This window comes from Homo sapiens, chromosome 22 (genome assembly GCF_000001405.40).
Source record: "Homo sapiens chromosome 22, GRCh38.p14 Primary Assembly".
Taxonomy (NCBI): domain Eukaryota; kingdom Metazoa; phylum Chordata; class Mammalia; order Primates; family Hominidae; genus Homo; species Homo sapiens.
Window position 1 is genome coordinate 50,691,998 of NC_000022.11, and position 24,575 is coordinate 50,716,572.

The window sequence follows — 24,575 nt, forward strand, 5'->3', positions numbered from 1 at the left end:
AGGTTTGTCAATTATGTTGATATTGTCAAAGAAACAACCTTTTATTTCCTTGATTCTCCGCTGTTTTTCTCTTTTGTTTATCTCTGCTCTAATCTTACTGTTTCCTTCCTTCTGCTAGCTTTTCTTTCTTTTGCTAGTTTGGTTTGCTCTTCTTTCTCTTGTTTTTTTGTTTGTTTCTTTTTGGTCTTTCTCTAGTCTGTCCGTCCCTCCGTCCCTCCCTCTCTTGCTTCCTTCCTCTTTATTTTGTTTGCTCTTCTTTCTCTAGTTTCTTCTTTTCTTCTCTCTCTTTTTTTTTTTGGAGATGGAGTTTCGCTCTTGTTGCCCAGGCTGTAGTGCAATGGTGTGATCTCAGCTCACCACAACCTCCGCCAACTGGGTTCAAGCGATTCTCCTGCCTCAGCCTCCCGAGTAGCTGGGATTACAGGGACCCACCACCATGCCTGGCTAATTTTGTATTTTTTAGAGGCAGAGTTTCTTCATGTTGGTCAGGCTGGTCTCGAACTCCCAACCTCAGGTGATCTGCCTGCCTCGGCCTCCCAAGTGCTGGGATTACAGGCATGAGCCACTGTGCCCGGCCTCTTTTCTTTTCTTTTATTGGTTCATTCATACAGACAAGGTCTCACTATGTTGCTAGGCTGGTCTTGAGCTCCTGGGCTGAAGTGATGCTCCCGCTTTGGCCTCCCAAAGTGCTGGGATTACAGGCATGAGCCACTGAGCCTCGCCTTCTCGTTTCTTTTTTGTTTCTTTTTTTTCGTGAGATGGAGTTTCACTCTTGGTGCCCAGGCGGTAGTGCAATGGCGCAATCTTGGCTCACCACCACCTCCGCCTCCTGGGTTCAAGCAATTCTCATGCCTCAGCCTCCTGAGTAGCTGGGATTACAGGCATGCACTGCCACACCCGGCCAATTTTTGTATTATTAGTAGAGACGGGGTTTCTCCATGTTGGTCAGGCTGGTTTCGAACTCCCGACCTCAAGTGATCTACCTGCCTTGGCCTCCCAAAGTGCTAGGATTACAGGCGTGAGCCACTGAACCCGGCCTTCTCTTGTTTCTTAAGATGTATAATTAGGTTATTGATTTGAGATTGTTTTCCTTTTTAAAAGTAAGTGTTTACAGCGTTGTTTCCCTTTAAGTACTGCTTTTGCTCCATATGTTGTATTTTTGTTCTTGTTTGTCTTAAAGTGTTTTCTAATTTTCCTTATGATTGATTTCTTTTTTCTCTTTCTTTCTTTTTTTTTTTTAAGAGATGGGATCTCACTCTATGGCCCAGGCTGGAGTGCCCTGGCTTGATTTTGGCTCACTGCAGCCTCAACCTCCTAGTCTCAAGCCATCCTCCCACCTCAGCTTCCTGAGTAGCTGTAACTACAGGGTGCAGCACCACACCTGGCTTTTTCTATTTTTTATAGAGATGGGGGTGTCACTATGTTGTCCAGGCTGGTCTCAAACTCCTGACTTCAAGTGATCCTCCTGCCTTGACCTCCCAAAGTGCTGGGATTATAGGCTTGAGCCACCATTTCTTTTTTGAGCCTGGTTTCTTTTTTGACACATTGGTTGCTTAGGAGTATGGTGTTTAATTTCCACATATTTGTGAATTTTCCAGTTTTCTTTCACTTCTCGATTTCTAGCTTTGTTTCGTTGTGGTTGAAAAAGATACTTTGTATGATTTCAGTCTTTTAAAACTTTATCAAGACTTGTTTTGCGGCCAAACATACAGTCTGTCTGGGAGAATGTTCCATGTGTACTCGAGAAGAATTCTTGAATATATTCTGCTCTTGTTGGGTGGCATGTTCTGTACGTATCGTTGAGTCTAATTGGTTTAAGTCTTCTATGTCCTTATTGATCTCTCCAGATGTTCTACCCATTATTGAAAGTAAGGTATTAAAGTTTCTTACTATTATTGTGGAACTGTCTATTTCTCTCTTAAATTGTGTTGTTTGTATCATATTTTGATGTTCTGTTGTTCGGTGTGTATATGTTAGTAATTGTTAATCAACATATAATGTCCTTCTCTGTCTCTTGTTACAGTTTTTATCTTAAAGTTTATTTTGTATGATGTTAATATAACCACCCAGCTCTCTTTTGGTTACTATTTACATTAGATTGCTTTTTTTATCCTTTCACTTTGAACCTATTTGTGTCTTTGGATTTAAAGTGATTATTTTGTAAGTAGCATATAGTTGGATAATACTTTTTAATCACTATCTGCTTTTTAAGTAAAATTCTATTGGAACACAAACACACCTATCTGCTTGTATGTTGTTTGTGGTGGTTTTCATGCTGCGGTGGCAGAGTTGAGTCATTGCAACACAGACTATATAGCTTGCAAAGCCTTAAGTAGTTACTGTCCAATTCTTTCCAGAAAAGGTTTGCTGATCCCTGGTCTAGAATGTCTTTTATAGTTTCCCTGGTTATAGTTAACTGCAAATGGTCCTGTTCAGCAGTAGTCTGGTGAGATTCGTCACATGTAGCCTGTTTTGTCTCTCCTGAAGCTTGTGAAATGCAGTTCTTAGAGCATATCTGAGCACCCTCAAGGCCCCTTTCGGCTGAGAGGAGAAGCAGGCTTCTACCTCTGAAGCTAGGGTGAGAGGCAGTTTGACTGGGATGTGGCCCCTTAATGGTAGCTTCATTTGTAGGGTGGCCAACTCTTTTGGTTTGCCTGGAACCAAGGCAGTTCCTGGAACATAGGATTTAGTTTTAACATCTGGAAAGCCTGGGCAAACTGGACAAGTTGGTCACCCAGCTGGCTGTTCAGAGTCTTACCTATGCCCCCTTACCCCAGTACCATTCAGGGAAACCCCCAGCTATGCGAAGCGGCGGCGACTGGCTGGCCCCAGTGGCTTGGCATCCCCTCGGCCTCTGCAGCGCTCAGCCAGCGATATCAACCTGAAGGGGGAGGCACAGCCAGCAGCTTCTCCTGGACCCTCGCTGAGAAGCCTCCCCCACCAGCTGCTGCTCCAGCGGCTGCAAGAGGAGAAAGATCGTGACCGGGATGCCGACCAGGAGAGCAACATCAGTGGCCCTTTAGCAGGCAGGGCCGGCCAAAGCAAGATCAGGTAGGAGGGGGCTGGCAGGCCCTGGAGGGGTTGGGAGGGTGGGGTGCCGGGACCTGAGCCAGGAGGAGCCAGCACCGGGAGGCAGAGAGAGGCCTGGTGGTGCCTAGCACCTGTGTAGTGATGGGCTAGGGCTTCCTGGTTGGGGAAGGGAAGAAGGCATCTCTGGAGGTGGGGACAGGCACATGCACGCTGATTTCCGGTTGGAGCTGGGCTTGCCATGAGGACAGTGGGCAGTTGAGGGAGCGTGTTAGGTGGAGAGGGTATGCTCCTACCTGTGATTTAGAAAACACACTGCATTGTCAGGCATGGCTGGGAAGAGTCAGGGCTGGTGGCCTGTGGTAAGGGGGACAGGGATGGAGTTGCCACTCCAGTAGGGCCCAAAACCTACAGGTAAGCCCCAGCCCTGTCCCCAGGGTATACTCATGGTTTCCCCCAGCCCTGGCACACCTACAGGACTCTGTGGCTTCTATTCTTTACCCTCACCCTGAGGCCTGGGTCCCTGAGGCAGGGATGCCTGGACCGGAGCCCACTGGCCTCTCTGGGCTGTGCATTGGGTGCTGAGGTGGGCGCACTGGCTCTCAGCCACTTTGTGCCTGGGCTTCTCATCAGTAAGTGGGAATAGTCCTACCTAAGTCATTGTCTTTGGGAAGCCTTCCAGAATGCCCTGGGCAGGTGAGGGATCACCTGGCAGAGTCTGGCAACTGCCGGTAAAAGCACCTGCCCTCCCTGTGCCTTGAAGGCAGGCACCGTCTTTGTCGTTTCCTAGTTTCATCAGAGCCAGGCACTGAGGAGGGTGTTTGGCAGACATTGTTGAGTGGAAGAGTTACATAAACAGTATGTTGTTGTCAGGATGGCCGCCGGCCTTTACAGTTCTGTCAGTCCAGGCCCGCTGTTGGGCTGAATGGCATGTGTATACTAGCTCCTTTAACCTTGACGAACGTACATGTTCATGCTCTATTAATACCATGTTACAGATGAGCGTCCTGGTACGCAGGTGGGGCCTGTGACGGGTCCAGAGTCACAGAGCTACGGATCAGCTTCACTGGGCCCCAGGTAGACCCAATCCCCAACTTTCTAAGCCTGAGTGTTCAGCAGAGGGCTCAGGGTGCAGCAGGGCCTATGGAAGGCGCCCCTTCCTGTGCTGCCGCCCCTGCTCTGCAGCCTGGTCTCAGCGATGTCTCCGTGTCTGTCTTTGCCTGGGCTTGTTGGACTCGCAAGGCTGGCTGTACTGCCCCAAATCTCAATTCTCCCCTGAAGCTTTCTTATAGACCCGCGGATTTTCTAAGGGCTGGGCGGCCCAGTGGCTGAAAGAACACATTCTGCATTCCGGATGTTTCCATCCCGCAGAAAGGCTGCTCCTGAGTTGGAGGCACGCGTTGCCACAGGCTCCTCCCTGCATTCATTTTTTGTACGTGTTCATTCATCCTTTCAGCAGACACAAAACTAAGACCTGCTGTGTGAGGGGCTCCAGCTCACCTGCTCTGTGGGGATGGCAGAATTCTGTTTTTTCCTTCCTCGCAAACATTTATTGGGTGCCTGGTGCGTCAGAGGTGGTGGGTCTCAGGAAGTTGACAGCCGAGGGCCCGGGCTAAGCAGCAGTTAGGTGGGCAGTGATCCCCTTATGGGGCTGCCCTGGTGAGTGGACAAGGGTCTGCAGCTCTCGGGAGGGGCTGAGGAAGTTCGGTGCCCCGAGGAGAGAAGTCACCCCCTGGGGGAGGCGAGGCTGGGCCCTGCACCGCGCGGGTCGCTGCGCCCTCTGTCGGTTGAGCCGGACCGGGACCCGACCCCCATCAGCCCCCCAGTATCACACGGGGCACGGCGGGGGAGTTTGGGCTGAGAGCCCGTCACTTAACAGCTGGCCCAGGGGTCAGGATGTTAGAGTAGTTCAGGTGTTGGCAACTGCGTGACGGACAGCCCACAGGAGGGGAAGGAGAGGTGCCCCGTGTGACTAGAGCGTAGCAAACTGCCAAGCCCGAGGGAGCCTGGCTCTTGGAAAAGCGGGTGGCTCTGGCCTGCCTGGGTACTAGGGAGCCACTGCAGGCTTCTGAGCAGAGCCCCAGTGGAGGAGTGAGAGCTCAGGCTCTACCCCAGTCTGGGAGTGGTCTGGGGAAGGTGGGCATCACGCAGTGGGCGTGGGCAGGGGCCGGTGTCCAGGACGAGGGGACCCAGGCCTAGAGGGGGACTGGGCACCCAGCGATCCGGGCCCTGGACCTGGAGGGGTGGGGGGGGCGCCCCTCCCTCCCGTTCACCGGCTCCAGGCGGCTTTGCTGGTGCCCGAAGCCCCCGCCCCATCCCCCGCTCCCACTAGGCTGCCCTGACCACCGTCCCGCGTCCGCGTCCGAACTCCCCCTCCCGGGGGTCGGCGGCGAGGGGAGGGCGGGAGGGAGGGCGCGAGGGCCGCCACCACCGCCCGCAGAGGGAGGAGCCCGGCCGTGGAGGAGGCGGGGCGCGGGGCGGCCGCGGCATGGAGCGAGCCTGGCGCGCCCAGGAGCTGTATTCGAATTCGAGCTCGGTTCCCCGCGCCCCCTGCGCCCCCCGCACCGCCGCCCCGGGGCCCGAAGCGGAAACTTTACAGCGCCGTCCCCGGCCGCAAGTTCATCGCCGTGAAGGCGCACAGCCCGCAGGGTGAAGGCGAGATCCCGCTGCACCGCGGCGAGGCCGTGAAGGGTGAGGGGCGCGGGGGGGCGCGGGGGGGCGGGCCCGGCGCGGGGAGGGGGCGGCGCCGCGCGCGGTGCTGGCCGGGCCGGGGCAGTGGCTCTGGGGTCTCCTCTGCCGGGGCGGCCCTGGGCCCTTGTGGGATCCCTGGTGTCACGGTGAAGGGCTCTGCCTGGGGAAGGTTCCTGCCGTGCGGGTCCCTCCGGTGCTCTGTCGTTCCGGGCTCCCTGTGTCACCACGGAGGCTCCTCTCTCGCCACGGGCGTTTCTGTGTCCCCGGGGGTCTCTGCCTGAAGGACCCTGTCCCATTACAGAGCTTCCTTGCATTGCGGGGTTCCCGTGGCACTTCTGCAGCTTCTCCATTGGAGGCCCCTGCGATGTGGGGGACCCTTGCCGTCGTGGGGTGTCTGTGACCGTCATGTGGGTGTTTGTGTTATGCAGGCTTCTGTCACCGGGGCTTCCTGTGTTCTGGGGGGATCGCGTGCCATGACAAACCCCTCTCATTCTGGGGGTCTCGGGGCCATCACTGGGCTCCTAGCCTCAGGGCCGGCTGAGGTGGAAACAGCCCAGCTGGTGCATCACGTGGCCTCACCCACTGGCCACAGCACGATGACCCCGAGCTCTCGGCAGTGACCCCTGGGTGGGTGACAGAGCCAGGATGGGGGTCGGTTGAAGGGGCTGGGGGAGCATGGTCAGCTGGGGGTGGGGGCAGCAGCAGGAGTGTGGCCCCTGCCCCTGCCTGCGCCCCTCCCCGAGTGTGTCCATCTGTGTGTCTCTCTGTCCCCCACATGCCCACCCTGTGCCGAGCCCATCTGTTCCTTTCTCTCTTCTGCGTGGATCCCAAAATCTTCCCAGGGAAAAAGCTGGGAGAAAGTGGGAAGGGAAGGAGGGAAAGGGCAGGGGGTGGGTGGGCAGAACCTGCTCCTGAGGTGGGGTAGGCGCCCAGCTCTGCTCCCCACTGACGGCCTGTCTGGCTTCTTCCTCCAGTGCTCAGCATTGGGGAGGGCGGTTTCTGGGAGGGAACCGTGAAAGGCCGCACGGGCTGGTTCCCGGCCGACTGCGTGGAGGAAGTGCAGATGAGGCAGCATGACACACGGCCTGGTGAGTGACCCCACGGCTCCCCGGGCAGCTCCCAAGGGGACCACCCCTTCCAGTTTCCCTTTGTTCTCTCTTGGTGCTAAATCCACATGGATATTCATAGAGAAAAGACTAGAGGTAAACTCAAACAAACACTCAAAGTAGATGCAAACTTGTGTACATGACACAGACACGTGTGCACACACTCTGCATATACTTGGGAACATGCGTGTATGTAACCTGACGCTTCACGTGCAGTGGAGACACATAGGACGTGTGTGACGGGGCCTCTGTCTGTGTGATCCCACATTGACTCCCAGTGACTTGCACCCCACCAGCACAGTCCTTCAGAAACACCAGGTGTGTGGAACGCATGATTCCTGCGTAGCTGGCAGACATGTAAGGAGGTCAGTGTGAGAAAAGAGGCGTTTTTCCAAAGTGGACAGATTGTCCAAGTGGGCAGAGCAGGCAGGCCCGGAGCAGCCAAGAGGAAATGAGGCCAGTTGGGCCTGGAGGTGCCCTGGTGAGTGCCCTGGGGCAGGGATGGTCTGAGGGCAGCAGGTGAGGCTGGGCTGGTCCTCAGCCTGCAGGGAGGATGTGAAGGTGAAGGCTGCAGCTCCTGGGTTGGTGAGTGGCTGCTGTCCAGCCCTGCTGACCATCTGGTCCTTTGGGGGCCCCCGGGCTGGAGCTGGGTGCGTGTCTTGGGGGTGCCCTTGCAAGGAACCCTCAGGGGTCCCGGGAGGCCCCCAGATCCATGCATGTGCTTCTGTCCTGGAGAGCTGGTGGGCCAAGCAAACCTCTCCTGAGTGATGGTCACTGGGGGCCATCGGTGGTGTGTCTGGATCAAGGGTGCATGCACCCTCCCTCTGCATGTGAAGGGCTCAGGCCTGGGGTTACTGTGTCCCCATCTCTGTGTCCCCACCTCTGAGAGTTTCCCAGCGACTCCACCCCTGTACGGCCTGGACCCCTGCCCTGTGCTGAGCTCAGCAGAGGCCCAGGGAGGCAGGAGCTTCGCCACTGACCTTTTCCTGGGCCGGTGCCCTTTCCTCCTTCCTTGGCCTTGTTCTGCCTTGCTCTGACTGGTGGCTTAGAGTGTGGAAGGGACTTGGCCCCCTGTTCTCAGCCCGCGGAGGGTGGATAGGGCAGGGTCCAGATGGGAAATGGTTTCAGAGATTTGGGCCCTGGTTCAGACAGTATGGGAGAGGGGAGGGGAAGGAGAGGTAGGGGGATCCACACCTGTGGCGGGAGCGGGTCTTGAGCTCCCCCACGTGGTGGTGAGGAAGGTTCTGGTTTGAGGACTGTGTGGAGTGAGGGGCATTTGGACCTACGTCTGAAGCTGACGGGGAGGGAGGGGGGTTTAGGCTGGAGTCAGAATTGGAGAGCAGCAAATGTTTTTTAGGTGTTTGTCATGTGCTGGGCCCTGTGCTGGGAGCCGGGATCACGGAGGCTCAGCTGGAAGCCTTGTGGGAGCAGTGGCTGTGACGGGGGCCGTGTGAGCGTGGGAGCTCCCTGGGCTGGCCTGAAGGAGTCAGAGAGGGCCTCAAAACAGAGGCATTGTCTGAGCTGAGTCCTCTAGGTGGTCAGCGGCTGGGGCTGAGGGGACAGCCGTGTGTGCAGGGTCCGTGTGGCGCTCTACAGCTGTGTGTCAGCACGGCCTGCTCTGAGTGCCTGGCACAGTTTTAGCACTTCTACACGTATAAGTCGTTGACTCATCCCAGCAGTCCCAAGAGGTGGGGCCACTTGTTGTTATTCCATTTCTAGGGGGTCACATGGCCCTGAGGGGCAAAGTCTTGTTTGCAACACAGGCAGCAAGTTCTATGTGAGTGAAACGCCTGCATGGGGTGAGGGGCGAGGCTGGTGTGGGGACCACGGGGTGGTCAGGTGGCATGGAGTCAAGTGACAGTGTGGCATCATGGCGGAGGGAACCCAGCCGCAGTGTCTGATTGTGCAGGTTGTGTAGGATCAAAGCCCGGGCTGGGCAGAGCAGAGCAATGGAGAGGAGGGTTCAGGTCTGGGCTCCAGCCAGCAGCCATGGTGTGTGTGACCTGGGGAGTGAGTGTCAGAGGTCCCGGGGTAGACGGGAGTATTTCATGAGTGGGCAGCGGGAGAGGGACCTGCGGAGGCTGCCTGCGAAGGGCAGGGAGTGGGAGCAGTGACAGTGCCCTCTGACCTTGGCTGCAGGCCCTGCTGGCCACACTGCGCAGAGCCTCTGCTCTGGGATCCCGGGGCCGAGTTCTGCCAGAGGCCAGAGTGCAGCCCAGGAACAGGAACCTGCTTCCAACAGGCCCAGATCTGCTCCCCCCACCCCCCAAAAAAATCCATTTCCGGGACTGGAGTGGGGACAGAAAAGGACTTAAAGGTTAGGGAGGGGACATAGTCCCTGTGCGTGCAGGGGCTGGTGCCCAGAGCCGGTGCCTGCTGTGGGATCGGGAGGCGAGTCCTGGTCACTTACCCAGCAGAGAGCAGTCTCCCACGGCACCTCCTGGCAGGCAGAGGGTGGAGCTGTGAGGGAGGGAATGGAGAAGCGAGGTCAGGTGTGTTCTGGAGGCCCAGCAGGAGCAGGCCCTGTGCCTTCCCTCCCCTCCCTCCTTCCCTTTCTTTGCAGTAAGGTCAGCACTTGGGTGGGTAGTAGGAGATGGCTGTGTTGGGCATTTTCTCTTCAGCTGGCTTTTATGTGTCTTATTAACAAAACTGGAAAAATGAGTTTGTGTTATGTAATCCATACAATTTGTTTGGTTGACAACATCTGAAAACAGGAGGCTGGTCAAGTGCAAGTGTGGCGGGTTCTTCAGCAGGCAGCACCATGACACTTCCGTGCCTCTGTCGACGTGGAGAAGGGTGTGATGGAGGAAAGGAGGGGTCTGATGCCCCACCTGAGTGGTGATGAGGCTTGGCCTGAGCTGGCCTTAGGTTCAGCGGGATGAGGGGTGCAGGTGTGGTTGGGGAATGCCAGGATAAGATATAGGTCATCAGAACCAAGGGGATCCTCCAAGTTGGATTTCTCTATTCTATATGGGCGGGCTTAGAGGGGGCTGTTGACTTACTGAGAGTCACACAACGTAGTAGCTGGGACCTGGAATCCAGCCCGATACTTTTTTGATATCTGTGCCTTCTGATAGAAATAGGCACTCTTTCCTCTTTCCGTCCGGCCACTGCTCCACCTATGTTTACAGCCATCTATCCTTTGACTCACCCACCCATCCCACCATCATCTTCTTAACCGTTGACTCACCAGCCAACCCAATCCACCACCCCTCCCTTCCTCCATCCATCCACCTCTCCACCTACCTGTCTACACACCCAGTCCATCCATCCATCTACCCATGTATCTGTCTGCTCTTTGACCTATCTACCCATGGCCCTCTCCTTCCCTCCCTCCATCCACTGGTCCAGTGCCTTTCAATCCACCCTTCTGTCCGTCTATCTCAGATGCACCTGTCCACCATTTACTCTCCTAGTCAGCATCCCTTCTGTCCGTCTATCTCAGATGCACCTGTCCACCATTTACTCTCCTAGTCAGCATGCAGAATGCCTGTGACGTGCCAGGTGCTGTGCTGGGTGCTAGGATCACAGAGATAAAGAACATGTGGCCCTTACCCTCAAGGAGCTCACAATTAGTGGGGGAAACAGGTCATCGAAAGCTGCAGGTTATCTTTCTGATCTCATTTCCTGCCACTCTCTCTAGCTCCCTCTGCTCCAGCTGCACAGGCTCTGAACTCTCTCAAATGCTGCAGGCTGATGCCTGCCGTGGGCTTCCCCTGACCACCCCCGCTCCTGGGAAGCCCTTTGCCCACATATCCACAGGCTGCTCCCCATCCTCAGCCTCTGCTCAGCCCTCCCGTGGGGGTGAGGCCTTTGCGTGCCTTTCTCTGCCCTCCCTGATCTGCTCGCTGGTCTCCTGAGCACTTGCCAGCATTCGCATGCTATGTCTTTATCCTCTGTTTATCCTGTCTCCCAGAACAGATTATAAACCCCACGAGTGCAGAGACTTTGTTCTCTTCTCTGCTGTATTTGCAGAGCTGGTACACAGTAGGAGCTCAATAAATACTTGCTGAAGGAAAACATGGATCTTGAGAAATGCTACCAAGAGAGGAAATGAGGAAGGTGCTGAGGGATGAAAGCGAGGCAGTGGTGGTGCTGCCTGTGGGGCCTTTGCGGTCCTGGAGAGTGGAGCTGCGGGGCTGGGAAGGCTGGTGGGTGGGGCTCGCAGGCAGCTGGAGGAGCTCGTGGGAGCAGAGAGGTCATGGCTGGAGGTGTGGCTCGAACCTTCAGGTCAGTGAGGGTGGAGTGGTGGGCAGACAGCTGGCTAGCTTGGTGCTGGCCATGTGGGACTTGAGATCAAGAGGACAGTTGGGGACCAAGCTCTGTGGGATGCATCGAGGTCAGGGCAGGGGACCCAGCCCACACACCTAGATCCCCTGCCCCACTCACAGTTAGTCTGAAGCAAGGGACCCCATGAGGTTGAGCATCAAGGAGCTATTGTGAAGAAGTTGGTGAAGACAGAACGCTGCTTCCATGCCAGCGCCTATAGGCACATAGCACGGCATTTGTACATGAGTGTGGGTAATGCAGATTCAGATGTGCACACACACATGCATGAACACACCTCACACGCACATGACGGCAGGTCACACAGACACATGAGCACGGCACTTGCACACAGTGGGCTCATATAGAGACACGTGCATGAGCACAGCATCTACACATGACCACGGATCTCTCACACACACACGTATGTGCACACCCCCCTCTTTGCTCGCAGCCTTGGGGCTCACTTACGCTCTGTGGACGGCTCTGGCCTTGTTTGGACTCCTGGTTCAGCAGCTACTTAGGAAAGAGATGAGCTGCTGCCCCCTCTTGGGCCCTGACCCACGGAGGTCAGAATTCCCTACATCATCCCCTCAGCCTTCTTACCTCTGGACCCAGGACTCCAGGATTTGGGGCCCCCTACTTCCATCTGGACACAACCAGGCCAAGGGGGTGTGTGTGGGCAGAGACTGGTGACCAGCATGGGTGAGGGCAGTTGAGGCAGGCCAGCTGGAGGCCACGACTGTCCATCAGCTCCCGATACTCCCTTCAGAAACGCGGGAGGACCGGACGAAGCGGCTCTTTCGGCACTACACAGTGGGCTCCTACGACAGCCTCACCTCACACAGGTACGTGCAGGGACCCTGGCTGGCGGGAGCATGCATGTGGGACGTGGGGCAGGACCTGCAGTGTAGAGGGAGGCCAGGTATGAAGAGGTCAGAGGAGGGCAAGGGAATGTGCCTGGCCGACCTCTCTTCTGCTGCCCGGCCTGTCAGTCCCGGGGTGACTGCAGGGTGGACTGTGGCCGGCCAACCTCGAGGCAGGGCTTACCTCACTCCTCCCTGCTTTCCTTCATCAGCGATTATGTCATTGATGACAAAGTGGCTGTCCTGCAGAAACGGGACCACGAGGGCTTTGGTTTTGTGCTCCGGGGAGCCAAAGGTAATGGGGAGTGGGTGCCCGGGGGTCAGGCAGGCAGGGGCTGCACACCGCTCAGGGATGTCTTCAGCTTCTTGCTTCTGCCCCCAACTCTGCTCTGCCCCACACTCCCTCCCTGCCTTGCCCCTGCGGCTCCCGCTTTTGGCCCCGGCTTTCCTGGTTCCTCTGCTCGGTCGCGACCGTCGTGGTTTGCAACGTCCCGGCCCAGGCGGCAATTCCTTCCCTTCGTTGTTTTCCACTGTCTTTGCTCTAGAGTCTAACCGAGTGGGGGCTTTTCTGGCATGGGCAAAGGGAGTTTTGCAGAGGGTCATGTCTAGGATCCTTGGGCCGGCTCGTCCCTGCGCTGTGGCTCCCCGTGGCCCTCCCCCAGCCCCGGGTCACTGCCCCCCGCAGTCATCTCTTTCCTGTGCTGAGCCACTCGGAGGTTGCTGTGTGGCAGCCGCCCCCACCCGAACCTAGCTGGTGAAGCGCCTTCCTAATTGCCCCCCGCAGCAGAGACCCCCATCGAGGAGTTCACGCCCACGCCAGCCTTCCCGGCGCTGCAGTATCTCGAGTCGGTGGACGTGGAGGGTGTGGCCTGGAGGGCCGGGCTGCGCACGGGAGACTTCCTCATCGAGGTGAGGTCGTTCTGGCCGGTGCTGCCCAGTGGGATGCTGAGCCCTGAGCCCTGTGGTGGACGTGCCTGGGGCGTCCCCACCCAGCTGCCTGTCTATCCCAGGTGAACGGGGTGAACGTGGTGAAGGTCGGACACAAGCAGGTGGTGGCTCTGATTCGCCAGGGTGGCAACCGCCTCGTCATGAAGGTTGTGTCTGTGACAAGGAAGCCAGAAGAGGACGGGGCTCGGCGCAGAGGTGAGGGGTCACGCTTCAGGCCTCTGTGCCCAAACTTTCCCCTGACCTTAGACCTTTGACTTCAGGCCCACATTCCTCTTCCCATCCCTGACCCCCAACTGCTGACATCAGATTCCTGAACCTCAATGAACCACCCACACGTGTGGGCTGGGACCCCTCCCGATCCCTGGTGCTAGACTGCCAGTCCTGTCCCCTGGCCTGAGGCCTTTGACCCCTGACCCCTGACCTCAGGCTGCCCCTCCTCAGATCCCTGCCCCCTCCTTCCCGGCGTTCCCCCAGCCCCTGGCGTGGCAGAGCCCTCCTTCCCTACACCGCCAGCAGCTGCCTGGAGGCCGGGGTTGCCATAGCAACTGTGAGGTTGACGCTGCCGCGCTGCTTATTGTCGGAGGGAAGGGGGAGGCGGCACCTGAGGGAAGAGGAAAAGCGTCTTCTCCCCGCGACGACGCGGCACAGCCTGGGCCCAGGAGGCTTTGCCGGCCAGGCCCAGCCCAGGCCCGTGGCTTGGCTGACCACACCCTGGCCCCACAAGGGGCAGTGGCCACCCGGGCCTGGGGGGAGCCCTGGAGCAGCAGGAGCCCCGCCCGCAAGGAGACCCCTCCCAGCCCCCACCCCATGGCTCTGGTGCCCCCTTGCTTAGCCCTCGAAGCCTGCAGGGTGGGTGCTCAGGCCAGAGCCAGCCGGCACCGTGACCCCCGCCAGCACCCTTGATCGTCTCCTGAGGCCCTGATTCTGGGGGTTCCCAGGGCCCCTGAGGCCCTGACCGCCCGCCCCCCCCCCCCCGCACTCCCTGAGCTCCTTGAGCCATGAAGAAGTTTGCGTCCAGCCGTAACCTGAACAAGATCCTGGCACAGTGCGACTCATCCTCGCGGGAGTACGAGGAGATCCAGGCGGTGGAGCGCAAGTGGCACCTGCACCTGGCCACGCCGCGCCGCCTGCTGCTGGACAGGAGGTCCAAGGCCTCCCTCTTCTTTGCAGCCCCACCGCCCCCCAAGAGGGCCCCCAGCACCACACTGACCCTGCGCTCCAAGTCCATGACAGCTGAGCTCGAGGAACTTGGTGAGTGGCGGGGGTGGCGGTGGAGGTGGACGCAGGTGGACGGTCCATGATGGGCAGACAGGGCCGGGAGACACAGGTGGTACGGGAGGGCAGGCGGTCCAGCCAGAGGGTAGGAAGGACAGGTGGGTACAAGAGCAGGTCAGAGGTGAATGGGTGGGTGCTGGCGCGATGGGGAAATTTGGTGCTTGTGGGGTGAGGAGAGGGTGGCATGTGGAAGGGGTGAGATGTGAGAGGCTGGGGATGGACAGTGGGGTGTCCAGGACAGATGACGGGGAGCAGGGCCTGGCCCACCAGTATGTTTGCATGTGTGTGCATGTGTGTGCGTGTGCTGCCTCTGGTTTTCCACGTCTCCACTTTGACTTTACTCCTGCATTTCATCCAAGTGAGGAGAGAGCGGTAGTGAGGTGACCAGGGTCTGCTGCTGGCTCTGCCAGGCACTGGCTGTGTCAGCTCTGTGTTTATTTTACCCTCTTGGTGACTGTGCACTCATTGACAGGTGGCCCTGCTGACCCCACAGGCCACAGGAGTACTGTCGGTGGGATGATGGGGCAGGGCCTCGAGCGCGGCAGGAGGGGAGCAGGAGTGTGTTGGGGTTTGATGGGGCATGTTCTGGGCACAAGCCCTGGTTGACCATCAACAGCCTCTTCATGGGCAGGTCTTATATATGTGTCCATTAACAACCTTGTCATGTGCACGTCCAGATATACTTGATCATGTCCTGACGTGACAGTCAGTAGCCTCTTCATGGGACTGTCCCATTACGTGTGACCGTTGTCCTCACTGTGGGTATGTGCTATACATGTGGCCATCAACAGCCTCGTCATGGGCATGTCCCACTGTACGTGACAGTTGACAGGCTCTTTCTTTCTTTTTTTTTTTCTTTTTTTTTTTTTTTGAGACAGTTTCACTCTTGTTGCCCAGGCTGGAGTGCAATGACACGTTCTCGGCTCACTGCAACCTCCACTTCTTGGGTTCAAGTGATTCTCCTGCCTCAGCCTCCCAAGTAGCTGGGATTACAGGCACCCGCCACCATGCACGGCTAATTTTTTTTTTTTTTTTTTTGTATTTTTAGTAGAGGCGGGGTGTCACCATGTTGGCCGGGCTGGTCTCGAACTCCTGACCTCAGGTAATCTGCCTGCCTCGGCCTCCCAAAGTGCTGGGATTACAGGCGTGAGGCTCTTTCTTTCTGTGATCTGAGCCCAGTTCTGTTCCCAGACTTAACTCTGCCTCTGGTCATAGAAGGAACCCCAACTTTGGTCCTAAACTGAACCCTGAAGTCCTGGCCACAGGAAGGGACCCCATTCTGGTTCTAGGCTGAGCCCTATCCCTGGCTTCAGTCTTGGTTCTACCCCAGCCATAGAAGGAACCCTTTTCCTGGTCCCCAGAATTATCCCTGACCTCACTCATGAACCAAGCCCTGACCCTGTCCTTGCCACAGGCTGAGCTGCCCCATGCCAAGCAGGTGGTCTTAACTGCAGTTTAGTTCAGGGTGGAGAACAGCTACCAACGTCCATTGGGCTGACGTGGTCAGAATTTTCACCATAGCTATTCCAAATAAAATAAAACCCAAAGAAAAAAACAAAAAACCCCATGTAGATAATTCAGAATGAAAAGGAGAGAAACCAAAGCCAGAGGCTTCCATAGCTCGTTATCTAGTACGCAGGGGCAAGGGGTTGGGGTCCTGAGGCCCCCACAAGGCTGGGAGACGTGGCTGGACCTGTGAGAAGCGGGAAGGTTAAAAACCAAGCCCAACCACTGGAATTAGCTTCGAAAGAACTGGAAATCAGAGAAGAATATGAAAAACATTAAAATAAAGTAAATTGTCACAAAGATTAAAAGAACTAACAGAACTAATGAGAGAATAGGACAGAACAAACAAGCAAAAAAAGAATAAGCACATTTTAGAATGATTCTTTTTTTTTTTTTTTTTTTTTTAGACTGAGTCTCGTTCTATTACCAGCTGGAGTGCAGTGGCGCGATCTCGGCTCACTGCATCCTCCGCCTCCCGGGTTCAAGTGATTCTCTTGGCTCAGCCTCCTGAGTAGCTGGGATTACAGGCGCACAACACCACACCCAGCTAATTTTTTGTATTTTTAGTAGAGATGGGGTTTCACCATGTTGGCCAGGCTGGTCTCGAACTGCTGACCTTGTGATTCACCTGCCTCGGCCTCCCAAAGTGCTGGGATTACAGGCGTGAGCCACTGCGCCCAGCCAGAAGGATTCTTAAAGAACTGTTATTGAAACAAAAAGTGTAGTCACTGAGATAAAAAAGAAAGCCATGCCTGGGATAAACAGTACACTAGACCCAGGTGAAGAAAGAAACAGCAAGTTAGAAGATAAATCTGAGGTTACCCAGAATATAGCACAGAAATATAAGGAGATAGAAAATATCAAAGAGCAGTTAGGACACACACACACAAAAATCACATAGATAATTCAATGGGACTATTGGGAAAATCCCAGCATCTACCTAATGCAAGGCGTGGAAGCAAAAATAAAATGTTGCCTGGAGGCAATATTTGGAGATGAGATGGCTTAAGAATTTCCGAAAGTTGAACAAAGACATGAGTCTTCAGTTTAAAGAAATATAAGTCTCAGCAAGGAAATAAAAACAAATCTGTATCCACATCTTTCATAGTAAAACTGTAGAATGCTGTGAGCAAGCAGAAATCTTTAAAACAATGAGAGAGGCTGGGTGCGGTGGCTCATGCCTGTACTCTCAGCACTCTGGGAGGCCAAGACAGGTGGATCACTTGAGTCTAGGAGTTTGAGACCAGCCTGGGGAACATGGCGAAACCCTATCTCTACTAAAAATACAAAAATTATCCTGGCATGGTGGTGTGTGCCTGTGGTCCCAGCTACTCAGGAGGCTGAGGTGGGAGGATTGCTTAAGCCTGGGACGTGGAGGTTGCAGTGAGCCAAGATCATGCCAGTGCACTCCAGCCTGGGCAACAGAGCGAGACCCTGTCTCAAAACAAAACAAAGCAAAAAATGATGAGAGAGAGAGAGAGATGGGCTGCTGGATGTCTTAGACGGGAGCAGTGGTCCAACTGACAACAGACTTCTCATCAGCAGTGGCAGATGACAGTAGATGATGGAAGAAGAGCTTCAAAGTGTGGAGTCAAAATTCTTTTCCACCTAGAATTCTATACCCCGCTAATCCTGCTCATTCAGGAGTGAGGCAGAGAGGCTAATCCTAGACCTCTGGCACTCGGGTCATGAGGGTCCAAGGTCAGTCACGGGGAGCTGACCTGTCAATTGAAGATCCAAACTGATCAATAAGCCAGCACCAGTAGGCAGCTGGGTCCCAGGATTCTCCTGCCAGAGGCTGTCACATAGCCACAGTCAGCTGCATGTTCAGAAGGGACTCTTCTATTCAGCACCACGGGGCTTTTGGGCAGCCTGAGATCCGTAATCCTGGGACCCAGGGACTCTGCCCTATGGAAACGGAAGGACTGCGCTTTGCTCTCTGGGCTTTTCTGCCTGAAGAAACTGGTGAATGAAGACGCTCCTTTCCCTCCCCTCTGGGCTGAGTGTTCCCTCTTCTGCAACAAGCCTCAGGACAGGTTGCTGGAGTCACTTTGCAGAGCCCGGTCTTCCAGAGGAGTTGCTCACAGCTTCAGGCCACCATAATTTTCCAGGCTTTTTTCTGAGCAGAGTCTGGGGGAGGATGAAGGGACAGCTTAGCGCAGAGCCTCTACCCACACTTCTGGAGCTCAGGAAGCCACCCTGTCCCCAGAAGACAGCTGTCCTGGGAAGCCAGCAGGGCTTCTGGAAGTCCCCTCTGGAAATGCCTGATTTGAGGACGCCATGCCAGCATCAGGGTTTCCCCAGGTACCTAAGGGACCATCCCACAACCCAGTGTTTTTGCTTTCAGAAGATAGAAATGAGGCCTGTTGGTCACTGCTGGCATGAACACATCAGAACTGCCTCACACTGTCAAGAGCTATTAGAGCCCTTTAGGATCCATAGTCTATCGAGAAGGTGCCTGGACACCTAAAAAGAAAAGAAAGTGAGGTGTCAGAGAAAGCAGGTGCAAGTCGGAGGCTCCTGTCCAGGTGGCTGTTTGCTGCTCGGAGGATGTGGGAGAGGCATGGCCCTGTTGGAGGAAGGGGAGGGAAGGGGTATCCTGTGGGGGAATGGGGTGAGCAAAGGCTGGTGCCTGGAAAATGGAGGGTTGCAGAGCTGGGAGTGAGAGGAAGGGGCTGGGTGGGGACCCTCCTGAGATAGGTGGTGAGAGAGAGAAGAGGGCAGAACACCCCTCCTCCCCTCAGCACTGGGGGCTCCTCATGGTCGCCACATGCATGTCTGCTCGGTTTGTACCAGGAATGTGCTGGGGCCACAGGTCAGTGGAGACCCAGGCCAGGGAAGGCCCTGTGGCGGGTCCAAGCCCTTCCTGTGTATTCACGTTCCCGGGAGAACTCTGGACTTCCCTGTAATTTCTGGGCCCCTTTTTCTTTTGTGATGAGAACATCAGGGTAGGTGCCACACCCAGCATCTATGTGAGTGGCCTTGTCCTGGAAAAGGTTTCTGTGCCAAACACACTTGCCCTGCCTTTTAAGACCGACTTTGAACAGAACACAGAGGTGACCACCTTAATTTTCAGCGACACCTGAACTTGTTTTCTATGGGGTTTTGCCTTTTTTCTGAACAAACGTTTGACTGAGCCAAGCATGATGGAGTTGTGCATATCTGTGTGTGTGTGCGTGTCTGTGCGTTGGTGAGCGGACACGCGCTGTCTGCACCTGCGTGCATGCGGCACACATGTCTGTGCGTGGGTGAGTGGACACGTGCTGTGTGCACCTGCATGCGTGTGGCACACGTGTGTGCATGGGTGAGCGGATACGCACTGTGTGCGCCTGCATGCGTGTGGCACACATGTCTGTGCGTGGGTGAGCAGACGCGCTGTGTGCACCTGCATGCGTGTGGCACACGTGTGTGCGTGGGTGAGCGGATACGCGCTGTATGCACCTGCGTGCATGCAGCACACGTCTGTGCGTGGGTGAGCGGATACGCGCTGTGTGCGCCTGCATGCGTGTGGCACACGTCTGTGCGTGGGTGAGCGGATATGCAGTGTGCGCCTGCATGCGTGTGGCACACGTGTGTGCGTGGGTGAGCGGATACGCGCTGTGTGCCCCTGCGTGCATGCAGCACACATGTCTGTGCGTGGGTGAGTGGACATGCGCTGTGTGCACCTGCATGCATGTGGCACACACACACAAGTCCCTGCTTGTGGTTGTTTCCTCCTTGGCTTTCAAGGCATGTACCAACTGACTCCAGAGTTGGGCAGATTTGCTATTCACGGTCTGATAAAGAGGTGTAGGCTGGGGGCAGATTTGGGAGGTCATGGTTTTTGGGGGAGGTGGTGGTGAGAGGGATGGGGTGGGGAAATGAGTGTGGATAATGGGGCCCGGGTGCCGAGCCTGCCTCTTACTCCCTTTACTCTGTTTCTTGATTCCAAGCCTCCATTCGGAGAAGAAAAGGGGGTGAGTCATCTGCCTGTGTCCCCAGGGCCTTGGCTTTGCCTGACCCCTGTCTGGGGGAGTGCTGGTGTGTGAGGAGGTTCCAGCGCAAGTCAGGGTGGCCTGGAAGCCTGGGCTGCACCCTCCTGTTGGCCTTCTCCCTGGGCATCTGGTAGGGGCATGAGAGAAGGGCCTGCAAGGATGGATGGGGAGTTCCCAGGGGTGTGACCCTCTGAGACTGTGATGGCCTTGGGGGCTCAGGTGAGCCTGGGGCCTGTGAGCTGTGCAGATAGCCTGATGGAGGCAGCCCGTGGGGAGGAGCTGGGAGAGCCCCGTGGAGGCCACTGCATGCACCATGGCCCGGACAGCAGGAGGGAAAGGGCTCCGAGGGTCCCAGAGGGGGAGCTCTAGGGAGCAGGGAGACTGGGCCGTGTTGGCGTGCACGTTGCTTCTTTCTGCTGGTCCTCTCGGGGCCTGTGCTTGGGTTGTGGGACCTACTCCCGTGCTGGTTGGTTGTAGGGCCAAGCCCAGAGCTGATGGTCCCTTCAGAGCAGGGGTCTGAGTCCCACAGCACTGGGGAAGGAGCTTGGAGCTCCCCTGGCCAAAGACCCCAGGCTGTTGACTACCCTCCTGAACCCCCGTTCAGGCCTCCCTCTACCCTTTGGGGCTGCTCCCTGTATGTCCTTTATGTTCAGCCTGGTTGCAGGGGAGGGCGCATTCAGGTGGGGACAGTCACCTGGGCCTGGGTACTGAGGTCCACTGTCTGGTGAAGTCCTGGGACCCGGCTTCCGGCAGCCTCCTCTGCCTCTCGGGTGGATGGGAATCAGGGCCCAGACAGAGGCTTGAGGTGGCTTTCTCCACCCAGGCCTGTATATTTGCTCCACGTCCGTGTACCTGATGCCCATCCCTCCCTCTCTCTCGACCCACTGGGCTTTCCCTGGGTGAGGACACATCTGCCAGGCCCTTGGCCCAGCCCTCTTGAGGTCCCCTTGCTGCCTCTTGCCCCAGCCCAGGTGAAGGGCTTCCCCAGTGTCTTCTCAGGTATTAAAAACAGGTGACAAGGTCTCCTCCAGTGACCTTTTCTGCATGCCTTTGGGGCAGACATACAAGCTATTTCTGGAATCTTCTGGCTCTGCCCTCTAGCTCGTTAGTGGGGCTCCCAGGGTGCTGTGTTGCAGCCCAGGTGCTGCTCCAGTTGTGGAAGAAGTGATGGCTGGTTGATCATCCCGCAGGCTGGGGCCCTGTTGATCAAACAGCTGCAAACCCAGCTGTGTCCTGCTGTGCACCCAGAGGGCCCTGGGAGTGAGCGGGTCCACTTGGTTCCTGATGGGCTTTGTTTCCCTTAATTATCTAAAATTATTTATTTAAGAATATATCCTCTAATATTGGGGGGAGATTTATGTCAACCTCATCAGTTTGTAATTTGCAGAATTCTTGATGAATCCTTTCCCTTTTGAAAACACTTCTCACCCGGCTCCAGCACCATCGCCGGATGACCAGAAACAGCTGCTCACTAAACGTTATGTGCGTCCCGCTGTGGGTCTCTGGGATGGGTCTTCCAGACCTAGAGAGACAGCCTCTCCTAGCCCGTGGCTCAGGCGGCAACGTGTCTCCCATGATGCTGAGCCGTGTGTGCCTCACGGAGTTTTCTCTCCATTCATATCTTTACTTCTGCAGTTTCCGGGGAGTATGGTGCTTAAGTCTCATCTCTTACTTCCTAGTCAGAGATTTATGGCAATTTCGCTTCAGTTTGCTCCTGGGTTGGATAAGGGTGATGATAAAATCCTCGTGTAGTTGTGGGATGAGAGGAGTGGTTTGCATAAAGTCCCGCATACTCTAGAAATCACCAAGAACTTAACAGATGGTGGCAATGGTGACTTCAACTCCCAAAAAGAAATCATTCACTTCATGACAAAAGCAAATGAGAAGTCCCCTCAAACCAGCAGCCCCTGGTCTGTACCTGGGCCCCTGTCACCTGGTGGCACTGGGAGCTGTGCACAGGCCCAGATATCTGCAGTTGGAGCCTGTTTTGCTGGTAAACTCTTGTATCGTTCAGGACACAGGCTGGGCGCTGATGGAACACAGAGAACAGTATTTGCTCTGTTCTGCAGACCCGGAAGCTGTCTGGGGAGATGGGGCACACAGACATGAATTGTACTGAATTGTGTCCAGTGCCAGCACAGTTGTAAGCCTTTCTTCTGTGCTAATTCTCACTAGAGACACGTGAGCGAGCACTGTTTTTATGCCTGTTTTATCAATGAGGACACAGAGGTCACAAAGAGGTTATGTCAGGACAGAGTCAGTGTACAGGGTGGGTCTGGTCTGGGTTGGGTACAGGACAGTCTTGGGGAGTTCCTTCCTTCCAGCAATGCTAAGCTTGGGGAGTTCCTTCCTTCCTTCCAGCAATGCTAAGCAGATTGCAGAGGTAGAATCAGCAGGTGCTGTGAACAGCTGCAGATTGGAGTTGGAAGGAGTAGGAGGTGTCCAGTCTGACCGTTGAAATTCTCCAACAAGGGGCCAAGACAAGAGTGAAAGGTGCCAAGACAAGTGTGGCCAGACAGTGGTCCCTCTAGGGTTGGCATAGCCCCAAAGAGTGGAGAAGGGCTTGGGGTTGGGTGCAGCCTGAGTGATGGGTGGGGTGCAGTGGGGCTGCTGAATGAGAGGGCCGGTGCAGCAGCCAGGTGGACATGAGTGCTGCCCCAGCCCTTGCTGCATGCTGCACGCACTGGTCCTCAGTGGACCCACAGGGGGCGAGAGCTGCTTATGTCCTGGGGGAGCCATCCAACCAGGGCTCTGATGGTCCTGAGATACACGTATTAGTTTAACAGTTTCCAAGTCACTTTGATCTTCTGTGGAAACCTGCTTGTACATCAGGGTCTGTCCTCGGGCTGTGACCCGCTGTGAACAGCTTCCCTTCCAGTGCGGTACAGATAGCCAAGAGTGGCCTGTATGTGCTGAGAACAGTGACAGGACGAAGGGAAATGGAGGGAAATCCAGGGAGACTGTGGTCTCTGAATCGTTTGTCTGTCCTGTGCCCTGGTCTTCTCCCTCATGGTCAGAGTGGCCTTTCCTTAAGTGAGGTCCACAGGGTCACCTGGAGTCTCCTTGAGGCTAGAGAGGCTGCCTGGGGTGGGGTCTGAGTTCTGGGGTGAGGGCCTTGTCTTGGGAGCCTGGGGTGGGAGCTCAAGGAGGGAGGGGAGCGGTGGCCTCTGTCAGCATCACGGGTGGCCGGGTTGGGGAGGACATGGCAGTGGGGCAGGAGGTGGCCCAGGCAGCTGAGATGGAGCCTCCTTGCTGTGCAGAGAAGCTGGACGAGATGCTGGCAGCCGCCGCAGAGCCAACGCTGCGGCCAGACATCGCAGACGCAGACTCCAGAGCCGCCACCGTCAAACAGAGGCCCACCAGTCGGAGGATCACACCCGCCGAGATTAGCGTAAGGGCCACGGGCGGCTGGGAGCGCTGGGTCGGGCAGGCATGGGGGTCAGACTGTCCTGGGCCCTCTTGACGGAGGTGAGAGCCTATCATGTGGACCCCTCTCCAGAGGGGTGTGTGCACCCCATGGCCTCTCTCAGAGACTCTTGGGGCTGTCTCTGCCCCCTAAATGGCCACAGCTCAGCACCTGCTGGGTTTGCTCTTGTAGCTTTTGGTGCCTCTGCCTTCAGGCAGTCCCTGTCTCACGCCTGAGACCACCAAGGTACCCCAGCTCCGCTGAGAACACGACAAAGCATGTCTCTGTTCCCTGCCCACTTGCCAACCCGGCGCCTTCTAGGCTCCTCCCCCACCCTCACCCAGGGTCGGCCAGGGTCTGCACCCACCCTGCCCAACACCGTCTACACTGTACCACCATCTGCACTGCCCACACAGCCCAGGCTCCAATGGGCTGCATCCTCTGCTCCCTGAGGGCAGAGTCCAGACGTGATTCCTGGGTCCAGGCACCCACAGGCACTAGTGCCATTGGAGTGAGAGCGTGGGGTGTCTCACCTCTGGCTTAGGAGGAGGACTGGGGGCCCCCAGTGCCCTGGAACCTCCATATTCCCCTCCCTGACCCCCACAGTCATTGTTTGAACGCCAGGGCCTCCCAGGCCCAGAGAAGCTGCCGGGCTCCTTGCGGAAGGGGATTCCACGGACCAAGTCTGTAGGTATGGCTGCGCTGTGGGGCTGCATGGGGTGGGGAGGAACGGGGCTGGGGCCGGCAGGGTGGACTTGGGTTTGAAGGACACTGCCTCTCTCTGCCCATAACTGGGGTTTCCAGTTTCCCTCTCAGTCCTGTCTCTTCCTGGCCCCAGCTAAAGGATCTCATACGTTGATGGACATGTGGGGATTAGGCCTTCCCCAACCCAGAGCTTTCCCCCGGCAGCCGACACTCCCTGTCCAGTGGGCACCGCCCCCCATCGCCTCATCCCTCCCATGGGCAGTCTCATCCCTGTCCCCAGCTGCCACTCCCTGTCCACTGGGCACCCCCACCTCCCCATCACCTCTCATCCCTCCCATGGGCAGCCTCATCCCTGTCCCCAGCTGCCACTCCCTGTCCACTGGGCACCCCCACCTCCCCATCACCTCTCATCCTTCCCATGGGCAGCCTCATCCCTGTCCCCAGCTCAGCTGCCTCCATCGCGGTTGCTCCCTTGCAGCCCAAGTGCATGTGAAGTTTCTGACCCTCAAACCCCCTGAACTTGCCTCTCCCCTACTTCTCCATGTATTGCTGTCTCCCCCCTTCACAGCCAGTTTTCCCCAAAAAGTCACCTCTACTGTCCATCTTGTCTCCCGTCCCCCACCGGCTCCTCAGCCTGCGGCAGACTTCCTCTCTCCATACCCAAATTGAAACTGCTCCCACCAGGGTCACCGGCGGCCTCCAGGGCCTTCCTCCCCATGGATGCATGGCCAGCACTCCTGCTGACCTCAGCTGGCATTTGGTTTCTTTGCTCCTTCTTCCGTGAAACGCTCCTCCCCAAAGCTTT

The 24,575-nt window shown here is 56.4% G+C and overlaps 1 protein-coding gene across 1 annotated transcript in view, besides 5 other annotated features; it reads left to right on the plus strand.

The window, feature by feature from the left end:
- Nucleotides 1–24,575, plus strand: part of SHANK3 (SH3 and multiple ankyrin repeat domains 3) — a gene marked incomplete in the record, with an annotated part of 60,390 nt that overhangs the window by 19,175 nt on the left and 16,640 nt on the right. The window contains 12 exon segments of the mRNA NM_001372044.2: nucleotides 2,778–3,049; nucleotides 5,560–5,564; nucleotides 5,567–5,718; nucleotides 6,693–6,806; nucleotides 11,863–11,938; nucleotides 12,169–12,251; nucleotides 12,741–12,865; nucleotides 12,967–13,099; nucleotides 14,075–14,155; nucleotides 19,618–19,641; nucleotides 22,920–23,050; nucleotides 23,672–23,756. Coding sequence (NP_001358973.1) covers nucleotides 2,778–3,049; nucleotides 5,560–5,564; nucleotides 5,567–5,718; nucleotides 6,693–6,806; nucleotides 11,863–11,938; nucleotides 12,169–12,251; nucleotides 12,741–12,865; nucleotides 12,967–13,099; nucleotides 14,075–14,155; nucleotides 19,618–19,641; nucleotides 22,920–23,050; nucleotides 23,672–23,756 — 1,281 coding nt within the window.
- Nucleotides 3,056–3,556: an enhancer, noted in NCBI's record as "H3K4me1 hESC enhancer chr22:51133481-51133981 (GRCh37/hg19 assembly coordinates)". NCBI's record gives its function as "activates a minimal SCP1, AML or CMV promoter by ChIP-STARR-seq in primed H9 embryonic stem cells {active_cell/tissue: H9 hESC(primed)}" and the evidence as "EXISTENCE:reporter gene assay evidence [ECO:0000049][PMID:30033119]".
- Nucleotides 11,579–12,778: an enhancer, noted in NCBI's record as "CDK7 strongly-dependent group 2 enhancer chr22:51142004-51143203 (GRCh37/hg19 assembly coordinates)". NCBI's record gives its function as "activates an origin of replication core promoter dependent on BRD2, BRD4, P300/CBP, MED14 and CDK7 cofactors, with strong dependence on CDK7, by STARR-seq in HCT116 cells {active_cell/tissue: HCT116}" and the evidence as "EXISTENCE:reporter gene assay evidence [ECO:0000049][PMID:35650434]".
- Nucleotides 11,579–12,959: a biological region, named in NCBI's record as "CDK7 strongly-dependent group 2 enhancer GRCh37_chr22:51142004-51143203".
- Nucleotides 12,308–12,959: an enhancer, noted in NCBI's record as "H3K27ac-H3K4me1 hESC enhancer chr22:51142733-51143384 (GRCh37/hg19 assembly coordinates)". NCBI's record gives its function as "activates a minimal SCP1, AML or CMV promoter by ChIP-STARR-seq in naive H9 embryonic stem cells {active_cell/tissue: H9 hESC(naive)}" and the evidence as "EXISTENCE:reporter gene assay evidence [ECO:0000049][PMID:30033119]".
- Nucleotides 12,960–13,610: an enhancer, noted in NCBI's record as "H3K27ac-H3K4me1 hESC enhancer chr22:51143385-51144035 (GRCh37/hg19 assembly coordinates)". NCBI's record gives its function as "activates a minimal SCP1, AML or CMV promoter by ChIP-STARR-seq in primed H9 embryonic stem cells {active_cell/tissue: H9 hESC(primed)}" and the evidence as "EXISTENCE:reporter gene assay evidence [ECO:0000049][PMID:30033119]".